The 21,355-nt window shown below is 42.3% G+C and overlaps 1 protein-coding gene across 9 annotated transcripts in view; it reads left to right on the top strand.

The window, feature by feature from the left end:
- Positions 1-21,355, top strand: part of SAXO1 (stabilizer of axonemal microtubules 1) — a 121,690-nt gene that overhangs the window by 44,933 nt on the left and 55,402 nt on the right. For 2 of the 9 annotated variants that reach the window (XM_011517745.3, XM_011517746.3), the window contains exons 2-3: positions 10,851-11,050; positions 14,514-14,585. The exons of 4 other annotated variants lie outside the window; for them this stretch is intronic. In XM_011517745.3, coding sequence (XP_011516047.1) covers positions 14,533-14,585 — 53 coding nt within the window. In that variant the 5' untranslated portion in view covers positions 10,851-11,050; positions 14,514-14,532. Of the gene's footprint in view, positions 1-10,820; positions 11,051-14,513; positions 14,586-21,355 lie in introns of all 9 variants that reach the window. 3 more of the 9 variants (XM_024447428.2, XM_011517744.2, XM_047422843.1) reach the window with 2 other exon arrangements.

The following is a 21,355-nucleotide window of genomic DNA, read 5'->3' as shown; positions in this document are numbered from 1 at the left end:
GTCTTTATAGTAGCATGATTTATAATCCTTTGGTTATATACCCAGTAACAGGATTGCAAGTTCTAGAACCTTGAGGAATCACCACACTGTCTTCCACAATGGTTGAACTAATTTACATTCCCACCAACAGTGTAAAAGCATTCCTATTTCTCCACATCCTCTCCAGCAACTGTTGTTTCCTGACTTTTTAATGAACACCATTCTAACTGACATGAGATGGTATCTCGTTGTGGTTTTGATTTGCATTTCTCTAATGACCAGTGATGATGAGCATTTTTTCATATGTCTGTTGGCTGCATAAATATCTTCTTTTGAGGAGTGTCTGTTCATAGCCTTTGCCTGCTTTTTGATGGGGTTGTTTTTTTTGTTGTAAATTTAAGTTCTTTGTGGATTCTGGATATAAGTCCTTTGTTAGATGGATAGATTGCAAAATTTTTCTCCCATTCTGTGGGTTGCCAACTGTGATGGTAGTTTCTTTTGCTTTGCAGAAGCTCTTTAGTTTAATTAGGTCCCATTTGTCTATTTTGGCTTTTGTTGCCATTGCTTTTGGTGTTTTAGTCATGAAGTCTTTGCCCTTGCCTATGTCCTGAATGATATTGCCTAGGTTTTCTTCTAGGGTTTTTATGGTTTTAGGTCTTACGTTTAAGTCTTTAGGCCATCTTGAGTCAATTTTTGTTTAAGGTGTAAGGAAGGAGTCCAGTTTTAGCTTTCTACATATGGCTAGCCAGTTTTCCCAGCACCATTTATTAAATAGGGAATCTTTTCCCCATTGCTTATTTTTGTCAGGTTTGTCAAAGACCAGATGGTTGTAGATGTGTAGTGTTATTTCTGAGGCCTCTGTTCTATTCCATTTGTCTATATGTCTGTTTTGGTACAAGTACCATGCTGTTTTGGTTATTGTAGCCTTGCAGTTTAGTTTGAAGTCAGGTAGCATGATGCCTCCAGCTTTGTTCTTTTTGCTTAGGATAGTCTTGGCTATGTGGGCTCTTTTTTGGTTCCATATGAGCTTTAAAGTAGTTTTTTCCAATTCTGTGAAGAAAGTCAATGGTAGCTTGATGGGGATAGCATTGAATCTGTAAATTACTTTGGGCAGTATGGCCATTTTCACAATATTGATTCTTCCTATCCATGCGCATGGAATATTCTTCCGTTTGTTTGTGTCCTCTTTTATTTCGTTGAGCAGTGGTTTGTAGTTCTCCTTGAAGAGGTCCTTTACATCCCTTGTAAGTTGGATTCCTAGGTATTTTATTCTCTTTGTAGTAATAGTGAATGGGAGTTCACTCATGATTTGGCTCTCTGTTTGTCTGTTCTTTGTGTATAGGAATGCTTGTGATTTTTGCACATTGATTTTGTGTCCTGAGACTTTGCTGAAGTTGCTTATCAGCTTAAGGAGATTTTGGGCTGAGATGATGGGGTTTTCTAAATATATAGTCATGTCATATGCAAATAGAGACAATTTGACTTCGTCTTTGCTTAATTGAATACCTTTTATTTCTTTCTCTTGCCTGATTGCCCCAGCAGAACTTCCAATACTATGCTGAATAGGAGTGGTGAGAGAAGGCATCCTTGTCTTGTGCCAGTTTTCAAAGGGAATGCTTCCAGTTTTTGCCCAGTTAGTATGATATTGGCTGTGGGTTTGTCATAAATAGCTCTTACTATTTTGAGATACATTCCATCAGTACCTAGTTTATTGAGAGTTTTTAGCATGAAGGGGTGTTGAATTTTATTGAAGGCCTTTTCTGCATCTATTGAGATAATCATGTGGTTTTTGTCTTTGGTTCTGTTCATGTGATGGATTGCATTTATTAATTTGCCTATGTTGAACCAGCCTTGTATCCCAGGGATGAAGCTGACTTGATTGTGGTGGATAAGCATTTGATGTGCTGCTGGATTTGGTTTGCCAGTATTTTATTGAGAATTTTTGCATCGATGTTCATCAGGGATATTGGCCTAAAATTCTCTTTTTTTGTTGTGTCTCTGCCAGGCTTTGGTATCAGGATGATGCTGGCCTCATAGAAAGAGTGAGAGAGGAGTCCCTCTTTTTCTGTTGTTTGAAATAGTTTCAGAAGGAATGGTACCAGCTCCTCTTTGTACCTCTGGTAGAATTCGGCTGTGAATCCATCTGGTCCTGGACTTTTTTTTTGGTTGGTAGGCTATTACTGCCTCAATTTCAGAACCTGTTATTGGTCTATGCAGAGATTCAACTTCTTCCTGGTTTAGTCTTGGGAGGGTATGTGTGTCCAGGAATTTATCGATTTCTTCCAGACTTTATAGTTTATTTGTTTAGAGGTGTTTATAGTATTCTCTGATGGTAGTTTGTATTTCTGTGGGATCAGTGGTGATATCCCCTTTATCATTTTTTATTGCGTCTATTTGACTCTTCTCTCTTTTCTTCTTTATTAGTCTGGCTAGTGGGCTATCTGTTTTGTTGATCTTTCCAAAAAACCAGCTCCTGGATTCATTGATTTTTTTGAAGGGTTTTTTGTGTCTCTATCTCCTTCATTTCTGCTCTGATTTTAGTTATTTCTTGCCTTTGCTAGCTTTTGAATTTGTTTGCTCTTGCTTCCCTAGTTCTTTTAATTGTGATGTTAGGGTGCCGATTTTAGATCTTTCATGCTTTCTCTTATGGGCATTTAGTGTTATAAATTTCCTTCTACACACTGCTTTAAATGTGTCTCAGATATTCTGGTACGTTGTGTCTTTGTTCTCATTGGTTTCAAAGAACATCTTTTTTTTTTTTTTTGACGGAGTCTTGCTCTGTTGCCCAGGCTAGAGTGCAATGCGCGATCTCGGCTCAGTGCAAGCTCCGCCTCCCGGGTTCATGCCATTCTCCTGCCTCAGCCTCCCGAGTAGCTGGGACTACAGGTGCCCGCCACCACACCTGGCTAATTTTTTGTGTTTTTAGTAGAGACGGGGTTTCACTGTGGTAGCCAGGATGGTCTCAATCTCTGGACCTCATGATCCACCTGCTTCAACCTCCCAAAGTGCTGGGATTACAGGTGTGAGCCACCGCACCTGGCTTCAAAGAACATCTTTATTTCTGCCTTCATTTCGTTATGTACCCAGTAGCCATTCAGGAGCAGGTTGTTCAGTTTCCATGTAGTTGTGCAGTTTTGAGTGAGTTTCTTAATCCTGAGTTCTAATTTGATTGCACTGTGGTCTGAGAGACAGTTTGTTGTGATTTCTGTTCTTTTACATTTGCCCAGGAGTGCTTTACTTCCAACTATGTGGTCAAGTTTAGAATAAGTGTGATGTAATGCTGAGAAGAATGTATATTCTGTTGATTTGGGTTGGAGAGTTCTGTAGATGTCTATTAGGTCTGCTTGGTCCAGAGCTGAGTTCAAGTCCCAGATATCCTTGTTAATTAGACAGATCTCGTTGATCTGTCTAATATTGACAGTGGGGTGTTAAAGTCTTCCATTATTATTGTGTGGGAGTCTAAGTGTCTTTGTAGATCTCTAAGAACTTGCTTTATGAATCTGGGTGCTCCTGTATTGGGTGCATATATATTTAGGATAGTTAGCTGCTGTTGTTGAATTGATCCCTTTAGCATTATGTAATGGCCTTCTTTGTCTCTTTTGATCTTTGTTGGTTTAAAGTCTGTTTTATCAGAGACCAGGATTGCAACCCCTGCTTTTTTTTGCTTTCCATTTGCTTGGTAGATCTTCCTCCATTCCTTTAATTTTTTTATTTTTATTTTTTTAATTAAAAAGTAAACTTTAATATCAAAAATGCAAACTTGGGGAGGGCAGAAGGATCACACACAAGGCTGTCACTTCACACTTGGAGGGTTGCACAGTGGCTGGGCAGAGGTGCTTCTCTCTTCCCAGATGGTGGGGCGTATGGGCAGAGGTGCTCCTCATTTCCTAGAGGGGGGCAGCTGTGCAGAGGCACCCCTCACTTCCCAGACAGGGCAGTGGGCGGGCAGAGGCACTCCTCACATCCCAGACGGTGGGGCGGCCTGGCAGAGGCATTCCTCACTTCCCAGACTGTGGGCGGCCAGGTGGAGGCGCTCCTCACTTCCCAGTCAGTTGGGTGGCCGGGCAGAGGGGCTCCTCACTTCCCAGACAGGGTGGTGGCTGGGCAGAGGCGCTCCTCACTTCCCAGAGGGTGGGGCGGCTGGGCAGAGGCGCTCCTCACGTCCCAGTCAGTTGGGTGGCCGGGCAGAGGCGCTCCTCACTTCCCAGTCATTTGGGCGACCGGGTGGAGGCGCTCCTCACTTCCCAGACAGGGTGGCGGCCAGGCAGAGGTGCTCCTCACTTCCCAGACAGTGGGACAGCCGGACAGAGGTGCTCCTCACTTCCCAGATGGTGGGGCGGCTGGGTAGAGGCACTCCTCACTTCCCAGATGTTGTGGCGGCTGGGCAGAGGCGCTCCTCACTTCCCAGACAGTGGGACAGCCGGGCAGAGGTGCTCCTCACTTCCCAGATGGTGGGGCGGCTGGGTAGAGGCACTCCTCACTTCCCAGATGTTGTGGCGGCCGGGCAGAGGCGCTCCTCACTTCCCAGATGGTGGGGCGGCTGGGTAGAGGCACTCCTCACTTCCCAGATGTTGTGGCGGCTGGGCAGAGGCGCTCCTCACTTCCCAGACAGTGGGACAGCCGGGCAGAGGTGCTCCTCACTCTCCAGATGGTGTGGCGGCCGGGCAGAGGCGCTCCTCACTTCCCAGACAGTGGGACAGCTGGGCAGAGGTGCTCCTCACTCTCCAGATGGTGTGGCGGCCGGGCAGAGGCGCTCCTCACTTCCCAGACGGTGTGGCGGCCGGGCAGAGGGGCTCTTCACTTCCCAGATGGTGGGACAGCCAGGCAGAGGCGCTCCTCACTTCCCAGATGGTGTGGCGGCCAGGCAGCGGCGCTCCTCACTTCCCAGACGGTGTGGCGGCCGGGCAGAGGCCTCCTCACTTCCCAGATGGTGGGGCGGCCGGGCAGAGGTGCTCCTCACTTGCCAGATGGTGGGGCAGCCGGGTGGAGGCGCTCCTCACTTCCCAGATGGTGGGGCGGCTGGGCGGAGGTGCTCCTCACTTCACCGATGGTGGGGCAGCCAGGCAGAGGCACTCGTCACTTGCCAGCCGGGGCAGTGGCCAGGCAGAGGCACTCCTCACATCCCAGACAGGGCGGTCGCTGGGCAGAGGCACTCCTCAGATCCCAGACGGCTCCATCCCTTTATTTTAAGCCTGTGTGTGTCTTTCCACCTAAGATGGGTTTCCTGAATACAGCACACAGGTAGGTCTTGACTCTTTATCCAATTTGCCAGTCTGTGTCTTTTAATTGGAGCATTTAGCCCATTTACATTTAAGGTTCATATTGTTATGTGTGAATTTGATCATGTCATTATGATGCTAGCTGGTTATTTTGCACATTAATTGATGCAGTTTCTTCATAGCATCAGTGGTCTTTACCATTTGGCATGTTTTTGCAGTGGCTGGTACTGGTTGTTCCTTTCTGTATTTAGTGCTTCCTTCAGGAGCTCTTGTAAGGCAGGCCTGGTGGTGACAAAATCTCTCAGCATTTGCTTTCTGTAAAGGATTTTATTTCTCCTTCACTTATTAAGGTTAGTTTGGCTGGATATGAAGTTGCAGGTTGAACATGTCTTTAAGAATGTTGAATAATGGCCCCTTTTTCTGGCTTGTAGGGTTTCTGCAGAGATATCTGCTGTTAGTCTAATGGGCTTCCCTTTGTGGGTAACCTGACCTTTCTCTCTGGGTGCCCTTAACATTTTTTCCTTCATTTCAACCTTGGTGAATCTGACAATTACGTGTTTGGGGTTGCTCTTCTCATGGAGTATCTTTGTGGTGTTCTGTGTACTTCCTGAATTTGAATGTTGGCCTGTCTTGCTAGGTTGGGAAAGTTCTTCTGGATAATATCCCGAAGAGTGTTTTCTAACTTGGTTCCATTCTCCCCATCACTTTCAGGTACACCAATCAGACATAGATTTGGTCTTTTCACATAGTCCCAAATTTCTTGGAGGCTTTGTTCATTTCTTTTCACTCTTTTTTCTCTAATCTTGTCTTCTCACTTTATTTGATTAATTTGATCTTTAATTGCTGATATTCTTTCTTCTGCTTGATCAAATTGGCTATTGAGGCTTGTGTATGCTTCATGCAGTTCTCTTACTGTGGTTTTCAGATCCACGAGGTCATTTAAGCTCTTCTCTACATAGGTTATTCTAGTTAGCCATTCATCTAACCTTTTTTCAAGGTTTTTAGCTTCCTTGTGATGGTTTAGAACATACTCCTTTAGCTGGGAGAAGTTTGTTATTACCAACCTTCTGAAGCCTACTTTTGTCAACTTGTCAAAGTCATTCTCCATCCAGTTTTGTTCCCTGGTGAGGAGTTGTGTTCCTTTGGAGGAGAAAGGGCATTCTGGTTTTTGGAATTTTCAGCCTTTCTGCTCTGGTTTCTCTCCATGTTAGAGGTTTTATCTACCTTTGGTCTTTGATGTTGGTGACCTACAGATGGGGTTTTGGTGTGGATGTCCTTTTTGTTGATGTTGATGCTATTCCTTTCTGTTGGTTTTCCTTCTAACAGACAGGCCCCTCAGCTGCATGTCTGTTGGAGTTTGCTGGAAGTCCACTCCAGAACTTGTTTGCCTTGTATCACCAGCAGAGGCTTCAGAACAGCAAATATTGCTGACTGAACCTTCCTCTGGAAGCTTCATCCTTGATCGGCACCCACCTGTATGAAGTATCTGTCAGCCCCTACTGGGAAGTGTCTCCCAGTCAGGCTACATGGGGGTCAGGGACCCACTTAAGGAAGCAGTCTGTCCGTTATCAGAGCTTGAATGCCATGCTGGGAGAACCACTGCTGTCTTCAGAACTATCTGGCAGGGACATTTAAGCCTGTAGAAGCTCTCTACTTCCTTTTGTTCAGATATGCCCTGCCCCCAGAGGTGGAATCTAGAGAGGCAGTAGGCCTTGTTAAGCTGTGGTGGGCTCTGCCCAGTTTGAGCTTTCCTGCCTCTTTGTTTACACTGTGAGCATGGAACTACCTACTCAAGCCTCAGCAATGGCAGATGCCCCTCCTCTTACCACACTCCAGCATCCCAGGTTGATCTCATACTGCTGCGCTAGCAGTGAGAAGGCTCTGTGGGCATGTGACCTGTCTAGCCAGGCACAGGAGGGAATGTCCTGGTCTGCTGGTTGTGAAGACTGTGGGAAAAGTGCAGTACTTGGGCAGGAGTGTACGGTTCCTCCAGGTATAGTCACTCATGGCTTCCCTTGGTTAGGAAAGGGAAATCCCCCAACCCCTTGTTCTTCCTGGGTGAGGCAATGCCCTGCCCTGCTTTGGCTCATCCTCTGTGGGCGGCACCCACTGTCCAACCATTCCCAATGAGATGAACCAGGTAATTCAGTTGGAAATGCAGAAATCACCCATCTTCTGCGTCAGTCTCGCTGGGAGCTGTAGACCAGAGCTGTTCCTATTCGGCCATCTTGGAAGTGCCTCCTAAATTTGCCTAGATTTTTTTTTTGGGTTTTACATATGAGATCATGTCATTTGTGAACTGAGATAATTTTACCTCTTCCTTTCCAATTGGATGCCTTTTACTATGTTTTTTTTCTTGCCTCATTTCTCTGGCTAGAGCTTTAAATACTATGTTGAATAGAAGTTATATATGTGGGGATCCTTATCTTGTTTCTGATCTTAGGGAAAAAGTTTTCAGTTTTTCATCATTAAGTATGATGTTCACTGTGAGTTTTTCATCCGTGGCCTTTATCATGTTATGACGTTTCTATTTCTAGTTTAGTGAGTGTTTTTTTTGTCGAGAAAGGATGTTGAATTTTACCAAATGCTTTTTTTGTAGAGATGCATATTGAAGTACAGTCATGTGCTGCATAAGAACATTTTGGTTAACAAAAGACTGAATATATGATGATGGTTCCATAAGATTTAATACTGTATTTTCACTGCACGTTTTGTATGCTTAGATACATAATTGCCTACAGTAATCAGTGTAGTCACATGCTGTACAGGCTTACAGCCTAGGAGCAATAGGTTATACCATATAGCCTAGGTTTATAGTAGGTTGCACCATCAAGGTTTGCATAAGTAAACTCTGAGATGTTTGCACAATGACGAAATTGCCTAATGATGCATTTCTCAGAATGTATCCCTGTCATTAAGTGGTGGATGGCTGTATATAAGGATGATTTCTGGGACTTACTTTAAAATACTGCAGCGAAGAAGAAAAGGGGATTGATAAAGCAAGTGTGGCAACATCTGGATAATTGTGAGGAATGGATGATACTTATTTGGGGATTCATTAAATGATTTCTACTTTTGAATATGTTTGGACATTTATATAATAAAACTTTCTTTTCTTTTTTTTTTTTTGAGATGTAGTTTCACTCTTGTTGCTGAGATTGGAGTGCTGTGGCATGATCTTGGGTCACTGCAACCTCCACCTCCTGGATTCAAGCGATTCTCCTGCCCCAGCCTCCCGAATAGCTGGGATTACAGGCGTACACCACCACTTCCAGCTAGTTGTTGTATTTTTGGTAAGATGGGGTTTCACCACGTTGGCCAGGCTGGTCTCAAACTCCTGACCTCAAGTGATCCTCCCAATGTGGCCTCCCAAAATGCTGGGATTACAGGCAAAAGCCACCACACCCAGCTTATATAATAAAACTTTTGGAAAGGAAAAAAATTATTAAAGTTCTCTATATTGTGTTTTTATTTTCTTTATTTTTGTGTTTGGTATGAATGTGCAGTGGTTTCTAAACCTGAATTATTTGTGGGGACTTTGAAAAAACTGTAGATTCTGTGAATAGATTCATCAGGCTTGGGGACTTTGTCCCTGGAAGTGACTGGGATGCAGCCAGGTTTAGGAATCATAAACAGGAGTAAGGCTTAAAAAAGGGAATAGCAGCAGCATCCCCTTGTGTTCTTTCTTGCAAGCTAGGAGAACATTCTTCTTTAGTGGGAGAGGAGCAGGGCTTGGAATCACAAATTCTACTTCAGACAGTAAGCCTAGGTGACCTTGGTTGGACGGATAACTTTTTAACCGCTTTGGGCTACTTCAGCCTTGGAAAAATTAGGAGGCTGACCTAAGACCTCTGGAAAGTTCCCTGAATTAATTATCCCACAAGTGAGACTGGCTGATGCCAGCTTCAGCCTGAGAGAGAGATAGATACTGATCGCTAGAAAGGAGAGGATTAATATGGAATAATCCTGTGTACTTAAGAAGAGGATATTGACATGTCTGCATTAGGTTAGGTTTTTAGACAGGGAAATAATTACAAATCCCCAAAGGTATTTTTGGGGGGAGAAAAGGGAGGGAGAATCTTGTTTTATTAGTTAATTTATTTTTGGTGCTTATTTACTTAAATAAGCATAAGTAGTAGAAGTGTGACATTTTATAGTTATTTTGTGCATTTCAAAAAGAAAAACTCAGTCTCTTCCTGGATGGTCTAATGGAACCACAACCTTGACATATTTAATAAAGTTAAACATTGCACAAGGAGCTTTTCTTTTGAGGCCTTTAAGAATGTTCAAACATGTCTTGTTAGCTCACTAACAGGTCCAATTGGGATGTAGAGGAGATGCTGGCAGCCTGTCAGATCCTGAGGCCCCCAGGCACTGAGATTAGCCCCAGATTGCATCCTGGGGGTTAGTGTGGAACTGCTAATAGCTTTCAGTCTTTTACAATCTAGAATTCAGAGGGGAAGGGATCTTAGGGACTTTGGGGGCAGCCCTTCCTTTTGTAGGTGACAACTAAGGCCGGGAGAGGAGGACTGCTTACCCGAGCAGAGTGCTCCTGCTGAGCCCAGGCGGTTTCCATTTCCCGGGGTCTCTGTTAGGATTGCAGCACCTTCAAAACATTGAACATACTTCCCTGCCGGAAGCCACATCCTTCAGTGGTGACACCCAGAAACAGCCCCCTTGGTCTTTTGCTTGTTTTGGAGAGATGCAGCGTGACTGCTTTTATTGTTACAACACTGGGTGGTCTACCAGTGAGCACGTAGTATAAATAACAACTAATAAATAATTTTACAGCAAAAGTCCTAAATCTTTCCAGATAGTGCACTGGTGCATGGCTGTCAAATGCCGGACAGATCCTAAGAAAACAGTAACTTTAACCCATCCATCTTTTACGTACATGGCACATTGTCGTCATAAAATTTTCCTAAGGTTTCAGTGGCTTAAGGGAGAAAATGTACATGTAAAAACACACGTACACAAACACACCCACATAGGCATAGCTACCCTTGCTGGTGGCATGATCACTTCCATTTTTTAAACATGACTGCTTGACACCTGTCTGAATTTTTCCTGTATTTTTGGCTACAGTAACCTGTTTTATTTTAGTGCAGTAAATTTGAACAGACTTGATATTTTTTGATAAAAGGATTCTCTAATTTTTTCATTCTGGGCCATACTTTGGCATTGTTTTAGTGTCAGAAATGATAAGTTGATTTGGTTTAACTCATTTTGTAGGTTCGCCTTTCTTTTCAACCTCTTGAAAGCCAGGTACCTGAGTTATGTGCTACCAAGACCTTTGGTATTTCAGCTGAGTTGGGGGTTAGGATTCTGGACTTATCCCCCTCCCTGGAATTTCCCAAGTTTTAGCTGCTTCTCTTGTAAATTGGGGATGATATTGATGGCATAGGGTGACTTTAAGGATTGAATATGGTAATATGGTAGCTTACATGAGAACCCCCCAGCCTAGGGTCTCCATATGAAGGTCTTGATGACTGTTGGTTCGCCTTGCCTTCTACATTCTTACCTTATACCCCCTTTCTGTTGAAATCCTACCCACAGCAGAGCCTGTTCTCTCTTGAAGCCATCTGGAATGGAAATAAAAGCTGTGCTCCTCTGTGTTTTCAGTGCACTGTAACTTGTACCTCTCCTGTACAGTCTTTGATGCGACGTCTTTCACTCTGGTGATTACATGGGACATGTCTGCACCTTCTCACCCTCCAAACTGGCTGAGCCATAAGAAGGAAAGCTGACTGAAGGCAGAGGCTGAGGCTGAGTCCTGTAGCTTCTGCAGGATTAGCGCAGTGCTGGCCACATAGCAAGCATGATCATGGATGAGCCCTCAACAGATGTGAGAGGTAATTGTTTAATATGTTCTTAATGAGAACACATGGACACAGGGAGGGTAACAACACACATCGGGGCCTATCTGGGGGTGGGGGGCAAGGGGAGGGAGAGCATTAGGACAAATACCTAATGCATGCGGGGCTTAAAACCTAGATGACGTGTTGATAGGTGCAACAAACCACCATGACACGTGTATACCTATGTAACATACCTGTACACTCTGCACATATATCCCAGAACTTAAAGTAAAAAAAAAAAAAATTGTTCTGGCTGGGCATGGTGGCCCACACCAGTAATCTCAGCACTTTGGAAGGCCTAGGTGGGCAGATCACCTGAGGCTGGGAGTTCAAGACCAGCCTGACCAACATGGAGAAACCCTGTCTCTACTAAAAATATAAAATTACCTGGGTGTGGTGGTGCATGCTTGTAATCCTAGCTATTCTGGAGGCTGAGGCAGGAGAATCACTTGAACCCAGGAGGTAGAGGCAGGAGAATTGCTTGAATCTGGGAGGTGGAGGTTGCGGTGAGCTGAGATCATGCCATTGCACTCCAGCCTGGGCAACAAGAGCTAAACTTTGTCTAAAAAAAAAAAATAGCTCTTAAGTCATTAGAATATACACACTCATGAGATCGTAGTCATCTCCCTCATTCTTTCTTCTTCCAATGTGCCAACGTCTGTCTCCAAACTCTCTCACTTGGAGTTCCTCTGCCCTTCACTTTGGCCTCCCTGAGGAGGTGCCAGGTTTGGAGAGTAGTGGTTAACTGCTTGCAACCTGACCACTTCCTAGCTGTGTGTTATGGATTGAATTGTGCCACCTCAAAAGATTTTGAAGTCCTAATGCTCCAGCCTCCAAATATGATCTTATTTGGTAAAGAGTCTTTACAGAGGTAGTTGAGGTACCATGAGCTCATTAGCGTGGGCCCTAATCCAGCATGAGTAGCATCCTTATTAAAAGAGAAAATTTGGACACTAAGACAGACATGGACAGAGGGAAGACAATGTGAAGACACAGGGAGAATCCCAGCTACAAGCCAAGGAACACCTGAGCCTCTCAGAAGCTCAGAGCAACACATGGAGCAGAATTTCACCCACAGCACTCACAGGAACTGACACCTTGATTTTTGACTTCTAGCCCCTAGAACTGTAAGCCAATAAACTTCTGGTTCAACCACTCAGTTTCTGAGACTTTGTTATGGCAGCCCCAGGAAAGTGATATGTAGTGGGGAATAGGCAACTTTATAAATCTTTTCAGCCTGATTTCCCTTATCTATAGAATGGGATGTTGTGACAAATCACACCTATCTCATTGGGGGGTTCTGAGGATTAAATCGTGCCTGGCATTTTGGGATAGACCTTAAAAAATAGCATTCATTCAATGTTATCATTCATAGACTCTGACTTGCTCATTCCTGGAACACTTTTAAACTTAGCAGTCTCTTGAGTTTTTACAGACGCCTCTTCAAGCAGGGTTTGGTAGCCAAAGGTCTCAAAATCTTAGTGTAAAGCAGCAGTCCTCCAACTTTCTGGCACCAGGGAATGGTTTTGTGGAAGCCAATTTTTCTGTGGACTGGCAGGTGGGGGTAGGAGATGGTTTGGGGATGATTCAAGTACATTACATTTATTGTGCACTTTTTTATTTTAATTTTTTTAAATTGTACTTTAAGTTCTAGGGTACATGTGCACAATGTGCAGGTTTGGTACATAGGTATACATGTGCCATGTTGGTTTGCTTCACCCATTAACTCATCATTTACATTAGGTATTTCTCCTAATGCTATCCCTCCCCCTTTCCCCCACTCCGCGACAAGCCCCAGGGTGTGATGTTCCCTGTCCTGTGTCTAGGTGTTCTCATTGTTCAATTCCCACCTATGAATGAGAATGTACGGTGTTTGGTTTTCTGTCCTTGTGATAGTTTGCTCAGAATGATGGTTTCCAGCTTCATCCATGTCCCTGCAAAGGACATGAACTCATCCTTTTTTATGGCTGCATAGTATTCCATGGTGTATATGTGATGCATTTTCTTAATCCAGTCTGTCATTGATGGACATTTGGGTTGGTTCCCAGTTTTTGCTTTTGTGAATAGTGCTGCAGTAAACATAAGTGTGCATGTGTGAGTCTCGCTCTGTCACCCAGGCTGGAGGAGTGTAGTGGTGCAATCTTGGCTCACTATGACCTCTGCCTCCCAGGTTCAAGTGATTCTCATGGCTCAGCCTCTCGAGCAGCTGGGATTACAGGCATGCACCACCTTGCATGTCTAGTTTTTGTGTTTTTGGTAGAGACAGGGTTTCACTATGTTGGCCAGGCTGGTCTTGAACTCCTGACCTCAGGTGATCCACCTGCCTTGGCCTCCCAAAGTGCTGAGATTACAGATGTGAGTCACCATGCCCCGCCTTGTGCACTTTAGTTCTATCATTATTATATTGTAATATATAATAATTATACAACTCACTGTAATGTAGAATCAATGGGAGCCCTGAGCTTGTTTTCTTGCAACAAGGTGGTCCCATTCTAGGGATGATGGAGACAGTGACACATCATCAGGCATTAGGTTCTCATAAGGAGCACACAACCTAGATCGCTTGCATGCGCAGTTCACTGATAGGGTTTGCACTCCTATGATGCTGCTGATCTGACAAGAGGCAGAGCTCAGGTGGTAATGTGAGCAATGGGGAGTGGCTGTAAATACAGATGAAGCTTCACTTGCTCGCCTGCCACTCACCTTCTGCTGTGCAGCCTGGTTCCTAACAGGCTACGGATCGGTACTGGTCCATGGCCCAGGGGTTGGGGACCTCTGTTGTAAAGCAAATCATATTTGTCACCCAGGCTTGAGTGTAGTGGTGCAAACATGGCTCACTGCAGCCTCAACCTCTGAGGTTCAAGCAATTCTCCTACCTTGGCCTCCCAAAGTTCTGGGATTATAGGCATAAGCCACGGTGTCCTGCTAGGAATTTAGTTCTAATTAGGGGTTTAATTTTCTGACAGAGTTCTCAGCAACAAGCAAGTCAAATCTGTAAAATTGTCCCATTGTCATGAGTTAATGTGTGTTGACTGGCTCTCTCTGAGGTTGCCATTTTAACTGGGAGCGTTTGTTATACCCTTTGAATATCTTGATTTTCTTGCTTTTAAATGCCGGTCATTATAGGCTATAGGAAGTAGGGTGTGGATTATTTGGTAGTTGTTAGGAAAAAAAAAAAAAAAGTCCATGACTCCTGCTTGGTGTGCGCAGGGTAGGCAGCACCGAAATCAAATGTAGCTTCAGTCTGCCACTGAGCGTACCTATGTGGCATTGGGCCAGTTGCTTAATCCTTTGGAACATCTGTTCTCTCTCCTTTGCAAAATAAAGGTGGCAATACCTGCCAAGAGGCAGTTTTATGGTTCAAGTAAGATAGCATAGGTAAAGAAACTCCTTTTGTATGTGGTGCATATTCAAAAAAAATTAATTCCTTTTCTCTCATCTCCCTTGGTCCTCAAAGGTTACAATCTGTAAGAGCAATGGCTGAAATGTTGGCCACTTCACTCATGATGTTGAAGTTCCTCTTGGACAGGTAAACAGCTTATCATGTCCCTCAAGTTGTACACCATGAAAAGCTGCCTGCTACCTACATGCTGAGAACCCACTTGGAGTGACACAGTTCAGATTAAAGACTTTATTTCAACATGGTCTGAAGTGAATTTGATGTTCCACTTCTTAGCTCTTTTAGTGATTATATAACTTATGAGTTGTTTATTTTTTTTTAAAAGCCTGAAAGTACTAAACATTTGAAGAATGAAGTATCACGAGATGGGTGTGTGTGTGTGTGTGTGTGTGTGCATAATGGCTAAAAAAGTAAATTTCCTTTAGCTCATGCTCTGTATGAATTGGTCATCTGTATACATTAAATGTATATTTTTGAAGTTCTCTATGATAAATCTGCATTAGTAACTATGGCTATTTGAGCACTTAGGCTTCAGATAACATCAATATACCTAAAAAATTTCAAAGCTTTTTATAAACATCAATGCAGACAGTATTAATATCTATATAAAACAGGACTTCAGTTTGAGCTTAATTGAATTAGTCACTTGGTATCCGATGTAGGAGCCTGCTCTTCAGTTTCACTTAAAAGCAATAGGGAAGGAAAAGAAAGAGGCATCGAATGTTCTGTTTTGGCATCATTGTATTTGTTTTACTAATTTGCTAGTCTCAGAGCCATTCTCAGATGATGCCATTAAAAGGAGGTGGGATATTTGCCATTTTCCAAGTAATGATAGATGATAGGAGTGATCAGTCATACCCTATTTTGACCAATATAACTCATTCTATAGCTGTTTTTTTTGGTCCCTTTAAAGTAAAATGATCTTACTTCTTATTAAAATAAAAAGGCATACATCCTATAGGGGAAAGTTCACAACACAGAGGTAGTTCCCAAAGGTTTTTATACTCCCCTCTGATTAATAATTATTTTCACAAACTATGCTCAGGTACACCATGATTTGGGTTGCTGTATGATCTGGAAGCCAATGTAAAGTGAATCATTATAAAGCGAATCATATTTTCCCATAGGAGTCTAGTTTTAATTAGGGGTTTTATTCCTGACAAAGTGCTCAGCATCACATAAATCATACATGTGGTTACTAATATATTATAAAAGTAAAGATACAGCAATTTACATCACTGTAATAATTTAAAATAATAGCATTATACTCGTTGTTACATACAATGGGCATGCATATAGTGCATACATTGATTATCCAAAGGGCCCAAGTGCTTTATAAAATATACATTCAACGTATAAAATGCACAGCTTTGCCATGATTTAATGTATATGAAAGAACTTAATAAACTGTAGAATGCCATACAGATGTAAGCTGAAATTTTATTAGCCTTGTGCATATAGCTTAACATAATACATACACATAAAGACATTCCTAAATGTCTAATTGGGAACACTTTTGCTCACCTTAGGATTTGGAAGGACATTTAGGGGTTTGGGTGACTCATAGCCCTGGATACCTAGGGAAATTTGAATGGATGCTTTTTTGTTGTTAATGTTTATGCTTATATGTTCTGTTTCAAAATGTTTTCACTTGTTTCATAATGTAATCCTTTTTGAAGAGTAGGACACTGATGCTCACAGAAGATGCTGTGCTCTTTATCACTGATAAATGCTTTTTTATTGCTGATACTCACTTTCAGAGCCACTTTGTGGCTAGGAAGTTGCAAAACTCAAACTAAAATCTGTGACTGCTCATTCTGTGCTTTTTCAAATAAGCTGTAAGGGCCTGCTGTTTTCTCTGTAGTTAAGCAGATGCTAGTAAAATTATTTCAGGGATCTTAGAGTAGTGTTTAAAGAAGTTGGGATTACCCTTGAAGGGAACCATTACAGTGCCTGAAAACGTGGAGTGCTCATAGAAGACTTCAGTCATCAGTTATGAAGATGTAGAGAGGAAGAGCTGGTTTTCTTTTTTCTTTTTTTCTTTTTTTTTTTTTGAGACAGGGTCTCACTCTGTTGCCCAGGTTATAGTGGGGTGGTGCCATCTCTGCTCACTGCAGCCTTAACCTCCTAGGCCCAAGCAATCCTTTCACCTCAGCCTTCCAAGTAGCTGGGACTACAGGCATGTGCCACCACACCTAGCTAATTATTTTTTTTTGTAGAGATGAGGTCTCCCTCTGTTGCCCAGGCTGGCCTTGAGCTCCTGAGCTTAAGCAATCCTCCTGCATCAGCCTCCCAGAGTGCTGGGATTACAGGCATGGGCTACCATACCAGGCCCAAGGAAGAGAATCGAGTTTTTGCTCTTGCTTACCCACACCCTTGCCCTCATAACATTACTGAATACAGGAGGTCACAGGAGGCTGAGCGGGTGGACTACCTGAGGAAATCACATCGAAAGGAAAAGCTGGATCATATTTCCTTGCCTTAGCATATTAGTTAAGTAATACTAGTCTGTGCTGCAGTCACAAATAAACTCTGAAATCTCAGTTATAATGAAGATTTCTTAATCATGAAAAATCGAAGGCTCCCTTTGTGCCATGGCTAAGTGATCAGGGCTGTTGCCATCCTGCAGTTCTGTCATCTTGGAGTTTGTTCTTGGAGTATGAGGAAGAGGGAGAGAAAACATGCGGCTCTCCCTGGGTGAAGGGGTGAGATCTGAAGTTTCCCAGTTCTTCTCTGTGCTGAGATAATTGGCTTCTATAGCAATGAAATCATGACACTGTCTCCAGTAACATCCTTGTTAATCACCTGAGAGGACTGTGCCTGACAATCACTTTGCTGTTTTTTTGTTTATTTAATAAACATTCATGGAGTGCTTGTGTGCAAAGCATTGGGTTGAAAAGTTGATTCAATGCAGCAATTTGTTCCAAGGAATCATCTGAATTGTGTTGTATCTATTAACCATCATTTCTTTATCTGGGACACAGCTAGCCCACATGAAGTCTTTATGCAAATTAGAAACGGGCACCCCTTCCTCAATACATTTTACTTCCATTTGTCAGAAAATTGTCATGCTGATTTTATTAAAACAATGCCCTTTGCTGTTGTCCCCAAAACATTGTCAAAATGAATATACAACCTAACAATGTCTTTGAAGTGAACAGTGCCCTCTTAGATGTGTCACTCTTGTGCAGTATGCAACCTGCACAACTGTATGTGACAGTCTTTGCCCCCTTGCTTCCTACTATTGAATCTTTCTGGAATTTTGTAGATATTTTCAGGTAAACTTTTCTTTCAGTCTTTGTAGACACGATGATGAGGAACCGCCCCCCCTTTTTTTTTTCTCCTTTGGAGAAGACTCCTTGAGTTCTGTTATGCTACAGGAAAAATGTCACTTCTTTTCATAAGGTCAAATTCCCATTTTATTTGCTGTGGCAAATACTATCATTCATCTTAAATCTGGTTTGTTTTAAAATTGTGTTTACCTTCCTCGATTGGTCTCTCTGTTCTTTGACCATTTACTACATTTTGAAAATACAGTTATCCTGTTAAAATAGTTTGATTTTACTAAAAAAACTTTTACTCAAATAGGACCTCAATGGAATATTCTAAGGGTGATAAATTCCTGCCCAGGGGCTAAAACATTTTGACATTATTAGGAAAAAAGATTTTCTGTTTGTCTGTGTATGAAAAAGACCAACCCAATAGGCCATGCCATTATTTGTTAAATGAATAAATGAATGGATACATTGTGAAGGATATGTAGTAGTAGCTGTAAATGAATTGCTTTTTTTAAAATCTGTGTTATGATTGCATATTATCACAGAAGGACCCAAAGCTAGAAAAGCCCATTAGTATTTCTTTGAGTTAAGGATCTCTGCTAAGAATGAAAGTGCAATCATGTGTGAAGAAAGGATAGTATATTTAAAAAAATTCCAGGCCTGGTCTAATTGTGCTTTGATTACTGTCTCTAGGGAGTAATTCTTACTTCTTGGTAGGAAACCATGAGCAAGTCTGACCATTTGGTTTTGTGAAAATAAACTTTGTTTAATTTATTGACACGTTAGACATACCTGCCAAATTTTCTCATGCTTTTTCCCTGACATGTGTCTTGCCTGATGGAGTCACTGTAATGCAGTCTATGTGTTTTTAAAGAAATTATGTTTTGCTAAGGAATGTATCAAAATTGTTAAACCATGTTGCACCTTGTTCTCATTAGCCTTTGGAATGCAGCTGCCGGAACAGAAAGGGCAGGGGAGTCGGAGTGGTGGCTCTGCGTGCTCTCACCTCCTTTCCTTGCAGAGGCCCTTGGGCTCCATCGTGAGGTGCTGGGTCTCTGCCCATCCTTGGGCAGCTTTGCCAGGAGAGTACACTCGAGGAGCCCTGTAACTCCAGTCAATTGCTGCTCTGTTTAGAAAAAGCCAACAAAAAAATGAATTTTACCTCTATGTACAACCTAGCCAGCTCTGATTGCTACACTGTGTGCATAGGCATACCTTGTTCTACTGTGCTTTGCTTTATCGCACTTTGCAGATAGTGTGTTTTTTTAATGTAGGTTTGTGGTAACCCTGTGTTGAAGAATTCTGTCTGCTGTTTTTCCAATACCATGCGCTCACTTCATGTCTCTGTCACATATTGCTAATTCTCACACTGTTTCAAGCTTTTTAATTATTATGTCTGTTATGGCGATCTGTGATTAACCTTTGATGTTACTATTTAAATTCTTTTAGGGTGCCATGAGCCACGCCCGTATAAGACAGCAAACAACTGATAAATATGTGTGTGTTCTGACTACTCCACCAATCGGCCATTCTCGCATCTCTCTCCTTCTCCTTGGGCCTCCCTATTCATTGAGACACAGTATTGAAATAGGGCAAATATTTGAAATTAGGGCAAATATTTGAAAATATCTGAAAATAGGGCAAATATTTGAAATTAGTACAAATAATTGAAATTAGGGCAATTAAAGCACTTAGTGGTTTCTAAGTGCTTATGTGAAAGGAAGAGTCGCACCTCTATCACTTTAAATCAACAGCTCAAAACAATTAAGCTTAGTTAAGGGCATATTGAAAGGCAAGACAGGCTGAAAGCTAGGCCTCTTATGCCAAACAGCCAAGCTGTGAATGCAAAGGAAAAGTTCTTGAAAGAAATTCAAAGTGCTACTCCAGTGAACGCATGAATGATGAGAAAGCAAATAGCCTTATTGCTGATATGGGGAAAGTTTTAGTGATATGGAGAAAGTTTTAGCAGCCACAACATTCCCTTAAGCCAAAGCCTAACACCCAGAGCAAGGCCCTAACTCTTTTCAGTTCTGTGAAGGCTGAAAGAGGTGAGGAAGCTGCAGAGGAAATATTTGAGGCTAGCAGAAGTTGGTTCACAAGGTTTAAGGAAAGAAGCCTTCTTTACAACATAAAAGTGCAAGTTGAAGCAGGAAGTGCTGATGTAGAAGCTACAGCAAGTTATCCGGAAAATCTAGCTAAGATCACTGGTGAAGGCAGCTATTTTAAACACAACAAATTTTCAGTGTAGATGAAACAGTTATCTATTGGAAGAAGATGCCATCTAGGACTTTTATAGCTGGAGAGGAAAAGTCAATGCCTGGCTTCAAAGTTTCAGACAGGCTGACACTCTTGTTAGGGGCGAATGTAGCTGGTGACTTGATGTTGAAGCGGATGCCCATTTACCATTCTGAAAATCCTAGGACCCTTAAGAAGTATGCAAAATCTACTCTGCCTATGCCCTATAAATGGAACAGTAAAGCCTGGATGATGGCACATCTTTTTACAACATGGTTTTCTGAAGATTTTAAGCCTTCTATTGAGACCTACTGCTCAGAAAAAAGATAACTTTAAAATATTACTGTTCATTGACAATACACTTAGTCACCCAAGAGCTCTGATGGAGATGTATAAGGAGATGAATATTGTCTATCCCTGCTAACATAACATCCATTCTTCAGCCCTGGGTCAAAAAGTAATTTCAATTTTCAAGTCTTATTTTTAAGAAATATATTTTGTAAAACTGTAGCTGCCATAGAATGTGGTTAACTCCTAACAAGAGTCAGCATGTCCTTTGAAGATTGGAAGCCAGGCATTGACTGGTATTGGCCTTCTGGAAAGGATTCATCATTCTAGACGCCATTAAGAAAGTTAGTGATTCGTGGGAGTGGGGTGAAAATATCAACATTAACAGGAGTTTGGAAGCAGTTGATTTCAACCCTTTTGGATGACTTTGAGGGCTTTGAGACCTCAGTAGAGGAAGTCACTGCAGTTGTGCTGGTGATAGCAAGAGAACTAGAATTAGAAGTGGACCCTGAAGACATAAATTACTGCACTCTCATGATAAAACTTAAATGCATGAGGAGTTACTTCTTATGGATGAGCAAAGAGTGGTTTCTTGAGATGGAATCTACTTCTGGTGAAAATGCAGTGAACATTGTTGAAATAATAGCAAAGGATTTAGAATATTATAAAAACTTTTGGTATGGTTTGGCTCTGTGTCCCCACCTAAATCTCATCTTGAATTATAATGCCTACATGTTGAGGGAGGGATCTGGCAGGAGGTAATTGGATCATGGGGTGGTTTCCCCCATGCTGTTCTCATGGTAGTGACTTCTCACAAGATCTGATGCTTTAAAAGTGTTTGGCAGTTACCCCCTCGCTCTGTCTCCTGCTGCCATGTAAGACATGCCTTGCTTCCCCTTCACCTTCTGCCATGATTTTAAGTTTCCTGAGGCCTCCCCAGCCATTGCAGAACTGTGTGTCAATTAAACCTCTCTAGTTTATAAATTACTCAGTCTCAGGTAGTTGTTTATAGTGGTATGAAAATGGACTAATACACTTTGTATTTTTGCTCCTTTTTTTTTCCTTTCCTTTTTTCTTCCTTGAATAACCTCTCTGCTA

This window comes from Homo sapiens, chromosome 9, assembly GCF_000001405.40.
Source record: "Homo sapiens chromosome 9, GRCh38.p14 Primary Assembly".
Classification (NCBI taxonomy): Eukaryota; Metazoa; Chordata; class Mammalia; order Primates; family Hominidae; genus Homo; species Homo sapiens.
Note: the sequence above shows the minus strand (reverse complement) of the source record. Positions and strands in the feature narration are given on the sequence as shown.